Consider the following 11,663-nt stretch of genomic DNA (forward strand, 5'->3'; position numbering starts at 1 on the left):
ACAAAGTGTGCTGACCCCCTTACCCTCTTTAAGGCTCTAGAAGCAGTAGCGTGAGCAGGGCAGGGAGCGAAGGGGCATCAGGGATCCCCTTTTTACAGGTGAGGAAACTGAGGCCCACAGACGTGCTATGACTGAATATTTGCATCCTCCCAAAATGTATATGTTGAAGCCTTAATTCCCAATGTGATGGTATTAGGAGGTGGGGTCTTTGGGCGGGGGCGATTAGGTTTAGGTGAGGTTACAGGGTGGAGCCCCAAGATGGAATCAGTGCCCTTATGAGGAGATGAAGCCACCAGAGCTCCCTTTCTCTTTCTTGTGAGGATATAGCAGGAAGGCAGCTGTGACCTAAGATGAGAGCCCTCACCAAGAACCCAGCCATGCCAGCTCCCTGACCTCAGACTTCCAGCCTCTAGACCTAGGAGAAGCAAATGTTGTTGTTTAAGGGGCCAGGTCTCTGTTACAGTAGCCTGAACTAAGACAGGAGGGCAGGGATCTTCCCAAGGTCACAGATGGGGGTGGTGCAAGATCGGGGTGGAGTGGGGTATACGGCCAGAGTGGTACTGGGCTACCTCCAGGCCTAACAGGATGTAAAAGAGGATATGAAGCATAAACAGGAGCCCTTAGGGATAGCAGAGATGAGAGAGTTGTGGGCCACAGTGAGCTAGACCACCAGAGAGTAACAGAGACAATGTGGGCGAATCAATAATGATGTTAACAATGAGCTATTAGAATAATGAATGAAAATTACTGGGCCTTTTAATGCTTTCCTGACAAGAACTTAAAATGTAACACTCAGTAGAATTTCCCCTAAACCTCATAACACTTCCAAGATATTAGCAGAGACTGGAGTTACCACCACAGTGTCTGAGTGGTCTGTGAGGTGACTCACAGCAAATCAAGTCCACAGCAAGCAATGCTGTGTCATTCTGACAGCCCTGCATCACGCAGCCACCCAGCAGGGCCTGGAGCCTTCCCAGGCCTCAGGCTCTGACCTTGACCTTCTGCTTGTTTCTTAATCCTTCTTTTGTCTAGTTGCCAGATGATGACAGTTTGTGATACTCAGCCCCAACATATGGAGTGAGAGGTATGCTTTGAGATCCTCCGGGAAAGTGTCTTATTTCTGCACAGCCACACACTTAGTGATCAGGGTGCAGTCTCCACAAGATTTAAATCCCCTTCCTCAATTTAGAAATCCCCTTCCTGCCTCCAGCACCTCTCTTCCCACATCTCAGCTTACACTGAATCCTGCAGCACTCTTCCAGCCCCATGGATCCAAGCATTAGCCATTAGCCCCTTGGTAGAGTCAGTAGAACAGAAACCAATTTTTGTGACCTTGGTGAAGTTATTTAACTTCTCTAAGCCTCTGTTTACCTATGTACAAAATAGAAATGCAAATCAACAAGGCATTAAATAAGGTAATTACTTAAATGGGATTAAATACATTAACAGCTGTAATACCTAGCACGTAGTAGGTACTTAGCCAATGATGTTGATGACAAGGCCAAAGCTGGGTTAACGTGGGCAATTTCAGCCCTGTGGTGGGAATCAGGAAACTTTCAACCACTCCTTCCTGGGCCATGGGGGTGAGGAGTCTGGGTTGGGGTGCAATAGGCCAGGGAGGAAAATGTCCCGATAGTTAAAGGGCAAAGACCTCCAATCATACCAGACAAAGTTCGAAGGAATACCCATTTGGCCCTAGGCAAGAGCTTGTTTCCAAGAATTTGTAGCAAAGGCAATTAATCACAAGATCCTGAAAGTACGCAAGTTCAAAGAGCATATTTTGAATGAGAATATTAACTGGCAGAGCTGTTTAGAAGAATCTTCTTATCTAAGTCATTGATATATGGATAGAGTGGGACAGAGTAACCAGGCGGATGGACAGACAGACAGACCCAGGCTGAGGTTATTCTCAGACCCTAGAAAGGAAACCCAGGCTGTCTCAAGGGTCACCAGCCCTGATTGAGTACCGCCTGTTCAGAGCCACGTGTCTCGTGTTGTGTGTGGTCTCTCAACAAGACAAGGTAATGCTTCCAACTGCACGCCTGCCAGGGCTGGCACTTTCACAGGAAGATGCGGTCAGCTGCGGGACACGCAGCCGAGGCTCTCCAGGAAGGGTTGATTCAGAATCATGAGGTGAGAGCCCTCATAATACAGGCAGATGGGGATGGAAGGCCTCACCTGTCCTGCCCTTGCTCACCTTCCAGGGGAATTTCCCATCCTAGCCTTTGCTCGGTGGGGACCATTTAGTGGGCAGCCCACAGCCGGGCTTCCTTCACGAGGTTGGGTCCAGAAGATTCTGAGGCCACACTTTGAGTTTCATGTTTTCCCACAGGAGCCAAGTAGCCAAAAATGTCTCTATTAAGACAGGCAGCCTCTTCATAACCACTGCAGATGGGTTTTTTATGTTTCTTTCTTCACTCAAGAGTTGGTAGCATCCTAGGGCTGTGTTCAGGCAAGTGAGGGAGCCCCGGAGCAGGAGTGACCCCTTCACCTGGCTCTGCCCCCATGTTTCCTTCTCGTTCAATCTCCTTTATGCCTTTTCTTCCACTCTCTCTCACCTGCCTCTTCTCCTCTGCACGTAATTAGGATCAAGTCTCTCTCAACTTAAAATAAAAATCGTAAAAACAAACCTTGAGGTGGTCAGACTTCGGTTTCTCTGCCTCTTCTCTCCCTCCACCCCTCTTCCCTCCCTCCCATCCTTCTCTTCTTCCTTCCGCAAATATCTGTTGATGACCTACTGTGTGCCGCGCACTATTCTAGGCTCTGAGGAGGCAGCAGAGGGAACCAAGCTAAAACCCCAGCCCTCATGGAGCCGACCTTCTCCTGGTGGGGGGACACAGACAGTAAGCAAGCAGATACGTGGATTAGACAGCGTCTTACATGCAACAGAGGAGAACAGAAGCAGAATCAGGGATGGAGCACAACAAAGGAGGGCTGGGGCTTGTTTCTGTAGCTCAGACACAGGTGGCATTTGAAGAAACCTGAATGAAGAAACAATTTCCCAGTGTTTCCCAGAAAGAGCCAGGCCCAAGAAAAGACACTGATGGGAGGGGTGTGTGAGTCGTGGGGAGCCTAGAGAGAGTGGAGTTCAAAGGCCCTGGGGCAGAGGAAGCCCCGGCAGGTTGGAGGAAGTGAGTGTGCCTGGAAGGGAGTGAGCCAGCGGGGGCGAGACCTTAGATCCTGGAGTGGGGCCTGTGATCGTGCACAGATTCTCCTTCTTGGTATCCTATAGAGTCACTGGGTTTTGAGCAGAGGTGTACCACGGTCTGACTTTTGGTTTAAACGTTTGCTCTGTCTTGTCATGTAGCACTGCGTCAATATTGGTTGAAGTCATGATTCTCACATGTATTTACTGAGCACTTACCTCGTGGATGTGAGATGGCAGAGTGGAGGGTCCCTGCCCTGTTGGACTCTACAGTCAACTCCAACCCCGCCTGGCCTGCCCCTACTTTTGCCACAGTATTTATCTCCTCCCCTCACCCTCCGCCCCCACCCCACTGCACGCAATCCTGGCTCCACATAGATCCTGCTTTCCTTCAGCTTGCCCCAGCTGTTGAATGTGGGCTCTGAAACTAGCTTGCCTGGGTTCAAAATCTGGCTCTGCTGCTTACTAGCTGTGTGACCTTGGGAAAGTTACTTCCCTCTCTGAGCCTCAGTTGCCTCGTATTTACAATGAAGATGGCAATAGAAGCTTCCTTTCAGGCTCTAGAAAGCATGAAATGAAGTAGCACGTAGAGCTTGGAACAGTGTGTGGCACCCTACAGGCCTCAGTTATGTTCGGTATTATTGTTAAGTCGCACTATGCCCTCAGGGGTCCTGTTATTGTCCACATTTTGCAGGTGAGGCAGCTGAGGCCCAAGGGGAAGGCAAAGACCCATAGAGCTCCCTGGAAGAGTTTCCAGCCTCTGGATAAAGGAGGGCAAAATTGCTTTTGCAAAATAGAAAACCTTGAACAAATTTTCGGATGAGAAAATGACTTGCTTTGCCAGGGTTTGTTTAAAGACTGTGGTGGAGAATTCATTAAGTGCTGTATTTTTTACAATGAAATTAAACCATGTGGGAACACAGCAAGGGATAATGATTCACTTGTGATTCTGAAGACAGGGTTTTCATATCAGCCCCGTGGGCAAATGATGGGGAAAGCTGGTATGCCACAGTGATGCGTGGGTGGTGCAACCAGGCCACTCAGCAGAAGCAGCGAGAGGGTCCTTCCTTCCTGGACAGGGGCTCATGCCATCTTGCCTCTGCCGGGGTTGCCCTTGTAAAAGAGCCACTGCCTATGTTTCTCAAAGCTGGAACTTCAGAAGCGGGACTGATTGTATTTGTCAACACAGGAGGAAGCTCAGAGAGGGGAAGTGACTTTCCCCAGGTCGCGCAGCTAGTAAACAGTGGAGCCAGATGTTGAACCCAGGCAAGCTGCCTTCAGAGCCCACATTCAACAGGTTGGGCAAGCTGAAGGGGAGCAGGGTCAGTGTGGAGCCAGGACTGGGTGGGCAGGATGGGTGAAGGAGGTAAATACTGTTGTAAAACTGGGGGCAGGCCAGGCGGGGTTGAAGAGCTTGACTGGAAATTCTAGCCGCCCATCTGGCCCAACTCACAAGGGCGCCTCTCTCTGCTATATCACCTCGTGGCACTGCCTCGAGCCTCAGTCAAGCTCTTTCCTGACTCAGAGCCTTTTTACATCCCATTCCGTCTGTCTAGGTTACCCACCCTCTTCTCCTCATGTTCTTCCTGGCCTATTCCTCATCTCAGCTGAAATGCCATCTCTTCAGAAAAGCCTTCTCCGACCAGCCACCCGATTCCTCCCTCACACTGCAGGTCTGTCCCAAGCTCTTAAGGCATAGCGTAATGACAGGTGCATTTCCCAAAAGCTTCTCCCCCAGTCTGTTGTCTCAGTGAGAGTAGGAACCATCTTAGGGTTGGTCGCCGTGGCAGGGTTCCAGGCTCGAAAGGGGGATTTAGTGAATATTTGTGAATGGATGAATGAGCAAATGAATTAAAAGTCAAAATTCAAATCCCAGCATATATGCTGCTTTTGGAATATCACGCCTGTTAAGGCTTCAAGATTTAATGTCTTTCCCTACAAGACACACGGCTTCCTGAGTCCTGCCACCCACTGCCCTTACTGCCCCCAAGGAAAATATTCCCATGCCAGTCACAGCAGCACCCTCCTTCTGGTGACGCAAAAGTGACGGCCTGTGTGACTTCAAAATGTGATTTGTGGCTCCTTGACGCCCTGGAGACTGTGCAGCTGTATAGCCATGGAGGGCCGTTCCCATGTGAACCTGTCCCTCCCTCTCCCCTTCCTGGGGACTCAGTAGAGACAAGAGCCCAGGCTGGTGGGGAGCGAGCTCTGGGCTTAAAGACCCACAGCCTGAGCTCAGGCTTCAGCGTTGCGCCTGGGCGTCTGTGCCATCACGAGGAGGCCCTGGGTCTCTCCTAGCCTCAGCTTACCCACCTGTAGATGTGGCACGATTACCCCATGAGGCACCAGGAATTGCTGTGGGGTAGCCAGTGTAGCGGTTAAGAGGGTGGGCTTTGCAGTCCAACTCCCTGGATTCAAATCCCAGCTCTGCCATTTAGGAGCTGAGTGAACTTAGGGAAGCTAACTGACCTCTCTAAGCCTCAGTTTCCTCACCAATTGAATAAGTAGAATAGTAGCTCCTCCCCATTCAGGTTGCTGGAATAAAGAATTGAGTTAATTAGTTCCTGGCACATAGTAAGTGTTCCTTTAAATAAGCTGTAATCATCAGTCTTGAGTAAGCCTAGGCTGCCTTTATGAAGTGTGGTGTCTGAGCTGCTAGGCAATAGCACCTGGGGCTGTGCTGTCTAGTTCAGCAGCTGCGAGGCAGCTGTGGCTCATGAGCACCTTGAAATGTGCCTGGTGTGAAGTGTGTATTGCAAAATAAACAGTCTTTTAAAGACTTAGTATTTAAACATGTATAATATCTCCTTAATGATTTTTTTGTATTGATTACATGTTGAAACAAAAATAATTTGGATATCTTAAGTTAAAATAGATTATTAAAATAATTCCATCTATTTCTCTTAACATTGCAAAACAATGGCTGCTAGAGTACTGGTCTGCAAAACAGAGACAGTAACGGTAACAAGGAACTCCTGCTGCTTCTAACATCTGTATTTTCTCCTCGGTTAAGGCAGGCTGGCTACAGGTCCCATTGGGGAAAACATTTTGTTCCCATGAGCTCATCACAACAGGCACTATATGCGCTGCGTGTGTCTTTGTTATTAGTATCACCACTTAAACATTGTTACTAGTATCACTACCTAAACATTCCCACAGGCATATGGGGATAAATTGTCGAATCAGATCAGGATCTGCCCACATGTTGCCAAACACAATCAGTGTAGAGTGACCAAGATGGTTGAGCAACCTGAGCTTTCTCCTTTGCCTGAAAACTGGGCAACCCCTTGATGCCTCCCTCTGAGGTTTACAAGATAGAAGAGAGTCTGATGAAGGAATTCAGTTTATTCATTCAATAAATATTCATTAACCACCTGCTGTATGGAGGACATTGTTCTAGATATTAAAGACACAACAGAGAGCAAGACAGGTAAAGAGCGGTCTCATTCTCAGAGCTCATATTCTAGAAGGGAGATAGGCCAGGAAACTCAGATGGTGACAACTGCTATGAAGAAAAGAAAACAGGGTGGTGGTTTGCATTGTGAAATACTACACAGCAGTGAAAAAGAATGAACTATTGCTGTGTACACTCATATGGGTGAATCACACAGAGAATATTGAGTGAATAAAAGCGGACACAAAAGAGAATATTCTGTATGATTCCATTGATCTGAAGTTCAAGAACTTGCAAAACTAACTTGTAGGAATATAGGTCAAATAATGGTTACTTCTGAGGAAGAGGTTTGATTAGGAGAAGTCAAAGGAGCCGGTAGGTGCTGGAAATATTCATATCTTGATCTAGGTAGTAGTTGCACAGATACATGGTTAGGGAGAATGCCTTAAGCTGTACTCGAGATTTGTGTGCAGCTCCAGGCATGTGTGCTATATTCATTATCTATTGCAGTGTAACAAAATACCACAAAACTTAGCAGCTTAAAACATAAGCATTATTATCTCCCGTAGTCACAGTGGGTCAGGAATCTGGTACTGACTTCATTGGGTGGTTCTGGCTCGGTATCTGTCATGAAATAGCAATCAAGACCCCGGCCAGAGCTGCAGTCATCTAAAGAATTCCAGAGGCTGGAAGCTCTCCGCCTCCACAATCGCTCATCACATTTGTCTAGGAATTTAGTGCTGGTTATTGATGGGAGGACTCAGTTTCTTCCTCTGTGGACCTGTCCGTGGGGCTGGTTAACTGTCCTCTTGAAATGTCAGCTAGCTTCCCCAGAGCAAGAGATTCAAGAGACAGCAAGCAAGAAGGAAGTGACAATGCTTTTTGTGACCTAGTTTCAGAAGTCACACACCATCACTTTCACCATATTCTATTTGTTAAAAGCAAATCATTAAGTCCAGGCCACACTCAAGGGGAGAGGAATTAAGCTCCACCCCTTAAAGGGAGTAGGATCAAAGAATTTGCACACATATTTTTAAACCACCACACGTTATACCTCAGTTTTAAAACAATGTTATTTCTTATTCCAAAAACCAAAAGGGTGGTGGGATAGAAAATAATGGGTTTTAGGAAGCATTTTCACTGAGGCTTTAGAGGAGGTGACATTTAAGCTGAACTCTGAGAAAAGAGCCATGTGAAGATCAGGGAAAAGCACTGAAGCCAGAGGGAAAAGCAAGTGCAAACACTTTGCCTCAGCAGTGAGTCATCGAAGCTTCACAAAGAAGACCAAGATGGCCAGAAGTTCATGAGCAAAGGAAAGGAGGAGTAGTTAAAGTTGGCAAGGTAGGGAGAGGCCACTGAGGCCACAGAAAGAAGTTTGGATTTTATTCTGAAGGTGACTAGAAGCCATTTGAGGAGTTTTCTCCTCTGATGAACATTTTGGACAACATGCTCTGGCTGCTGTGGATTGACCGCATAGTACTCGAGCAGGAATAGAAATGAAGGATCACTTCAGAGGCCCTCACCGTAAGAGAGGTGATGGCAGCTTGGTGGACAAGTCCCTGGCTCTGCCTCTGGGGTCCCACATCATCAGATTCTTCCAGGGTTCCATTAACAAGTGGGCCTCCCCCAGGACACACACTGAACACACACTCCCATCAAAAGCAATAGAGAGATGCACAGTTGTCTTTGCTGATGGCAAGAAGAGAAGGCTCTTTTTGCCCTGAGGAGGATCAACTTTGACCATCAACTGGAGCTTTGTGTTGTCCAACAGGGCCCTGCTTTGGTTGGTGAGACAGCCTGGCCTAGGCTATTTTTACCCATCTCGTGGGGCCTGCATGCCGGTCTTTCCAGATAAGATGCCTTCCTTTCAAACAAAGAGTGTTTTAATCCTGGAGAAGTACTTGGTGGTTGCCACTGGCATTTGATTTTAGTGTGACAAAATGAAACGACTTGGGTTCTCTCCAGAGACAGAACCAGCCGGAAGCAGTGAGAAGGATGCCTGTTTCACATGGGGGCCATCCTGTTTCAGGCTGGGGCCGGGGCAGGGAAGGGAGGCTCCTCAGATAAAAGAAGACATTGAGCAGTCTTCCTTCTCAGGCCATGTGCGTTCCCTCTCTGGATGTACCAGTTGTACTTGGTTTCGGCTTTGAACTTTCTAGGAAGAGAGGCAACAGAACATAGTTTAAATGACTCATCAGAATCCAAATACATTCTAACTTTTGAGGAAGAAAACCTTTTCGAATAGAATAGTTAGAAACATTTGAGGGCTGCAGTTTGGATATGGATTTCTAAGTGAGTTATTGGCAATTTGCAATGTCCTAAATCCTGGTCTTTTGTTCCTTTCCGACAAATCTCTGGATTCTTTCATTTTTTGCAGGGGACAGATCTCATGCATTCATTTCTTGGCGGCATGTTAAAGCTGCAAAGATTTATTTAGTACCCATTTGATTCCAGACTAGAAACGTATCCCAGGATTTGGGGCCCATAAATATTGAGCATACTAACTTTGTTGTTGTGGTGGTGGTTGTTGAGACAGGGTCTCACTCTGTCACCCAGGCTGAAGTGCAGTGGCGTGATCCCAGCTCACTGCAACCTCCCCCTCCCAGTTCAAGAGATTCTCCAACCTCAGCCTGCCCAGCAGATGGGACTACAGGTGCGCTTCACCAGGCCTGGCTAATTTTTGTACTTTTTGGTAGGGACAGATTTCACCGTGTGGGCCAGGCTGGTCTCGAGTTCCTGACTGCAGATGATCTATCCGCCTTGCCCTCCCAAAGTGCTAACTTTGACTGTCACTTGATAACTCCCTGCACAGACAGTATTTCCTAATGTTTCTCCAGGTAGTTGAAGGAACATCAGGCTGGGGATTGGAAGGCCTGTATTCTAGGCTCTAGCACCATTGCTTGTGTGACCTTGGGCACCACACTTTACTTCCCACTTTCAGGGGAAATGTGAGGCTTTATGCCCAATGACCTCTGGGTTTTCTTACTGCTGTGACATTGGGAATGGCTTCATACCCCATCAGTTACCAAGATGAAGTGAAACAGGTCAACCAGTTGGGAAACCAGTGGAAATGGCTGGGCTAGCTCAGAAAGGCCCCTGGGCAAGTATCTGGGAGGTGAAAATAACGACCCATCAAATGAAGAGAGATCATGGTAGTGTTTTGAGAACTACTCACATTAATGATCAATTGCTAATTCACTATGCCACTTGATCATATAGTAGGAACATTAAGAAGTTTGAGGACATGTCCTGATTTAGATATCTCTCTACCACCCCTCCCAATATAAAACGAAGTTTCTGTTTCCAGGCCACAAGCTCTGCACCCCTCTACAGCAGGCAGGCCAACGTGAATAGTTATGCAGTTATGTGCTGCACAAAAGTGCCCAGTAAGGCCGATATCGAAATCAGTACTGGGCTAAAGATTATCTAACCTTAGAGAGGTGTCTAGGTTTGACTATTGGCGTGGAGAGAAAATGAGGCAGCTGTGGAGCAATGGTTAAAACCATGGGTTCTAGAAAAAGCTGAAATCAAATCATTCTACTAGCTTATGTGACCTAGCATAAGCTATTCAGATTTGTTTCCCCAGCTAATAGTAACAATTCATGGGTTGATAGGAGAAATAATATACTAGTGTTTAGTATGGTACCTGGTAGGTGATCAATAAAACATTAGCTATTACTGTATGTTAGGGATGAAGAGGGCTTACTCATTCAGTTTTCCTCTCGGAGTTTTAACCAATAAGACACTGAAGTCAGACTTTTAAAAATATATACAACAGAGGCGCTGCTGCACCCTCACTCTATAGGATGTCCTGGTGCCTTCCTCCTTATCCACGCTGGAGTCCTTTGTGTAGGGAGAAGGCTGGCTCCTAGGTCACTGCCTTCTTGGAGATTTAGAGAACCCAAAAGCATGTGACCATTGCAGTACAACTGTCCCATCATGGTTCATGTGGTCCAGTGGGTTTGAGGCTCTTGTGGATCCACCACCAGTCAGATAGGACTGTCTTCCCCATGGGAAGTGTCCTGGTCCCAAACCCCCAGTGTTTCCCTGACAAGATGAGAGATTTGACAGAAGTTTTTCTTTTAGGAGACCTGATGGGAATATGGGCAGGATGGAGAGGGCTTTACTACTCCTCCTAGGTAGAGGTCCTGTGTCTTCCTCAGAGGCCACTCCTCTCTGCACATGGCTGTGTAACAGGAATAATGCAGGCCTTTCTGATCACATCTGCCCTCCTGTAGGTTGACACTGAGGTGGACATTCACAGGACTATACCCAGTCAAATTGAATGCCATTATCTGGGAAAAACTTTCAACTTCTTCAACCTCCTGAGTTATTCACTTTTGTCCAGGTGGGATTTACTTCTCTCTGTGCTTCAAGCAGCTCTGAAACTTTTTCAGAGAGAAAAGTCAAGTATGGAAACCTGGTCAGCAGAGACCCTTTATTGTCGGTGCAGAAATGTGGTTCTGGGTGGGGAAGTGCTCTGCAATGCACGGAGCTCCTTACCAGCATTTAGGCTTAATAGGGCAGTGGAAACATGAACCAGGATTGAGTATCTACAGAAGCAAGGCATTTTTAGTTTGTTTTGCTCTGAGTGAGGCCTAGAGGCACAGGGCAGTGAGCAAGAGTCTCCTTAGTAGCTAGCGCCCCAGGGGGCCAACAGGGTTATGTGTCAAGCATACACTGGGTGGGACTGGGAGACTCTGGCAGAGTGACTCAGGCTTTTTGCCTGTAGAAATCCTGCCTACACTTTAGGGTTCGGTTGAAATGCTACCTCTTTATGGATCTGCCCTTGATTTCCTCCTGGCTATTTCTGAGCTTTCCTTTTTCTGAACTCCCTAGTACCTTGCTGGTTTCACTCATGTCCCTTGTATTACAGCTGCCTGTGTAACCGTGTGATCAGAGGCATCATGGGAGAGAGAGCCTAACTTGGGTTTGAGTCAGATTCAGTTACATGTTAACTATGTGACATTGGGCACATCACCTAACCTTTCTGAGCCTTAAGTCCTTCATTTGTAAAATAAGAATAATATTCACTTTACCAAGCTGTTTGAAAGATTGAATGTAGGGTATGTACAAAACTTGATATATACTATGCATTTAATAAATTGTCATTTATTGCAGACT

At 47.0% G+C, this 11,663-nt stretch overlaps 1 protein-coding gene across 10 annotated transcripts in view; it reads left to right on the forward strand.

Annotated features, from left to right (window-relative positions):
• Positions 1-11,663, forward strand: part of RARB (retinoic acid receptor beta) — a 768,612-nt gene that overhangs the window by 752,150 nt on the left and 4,799 nt on the right. The window lies entirely within an intron of this gene.

This window comes from Homo sapiens, chromosome 3 (assembly GCF_000001405.40).
Source record: "Homo sapiens chromosome 3, GRCh38.p14 Primary Assembly".
NCBI lineage: Eukaryota > Metazoa > Chordata > Mammalia > Primates > Hominidae > Homo > Homo sapiens.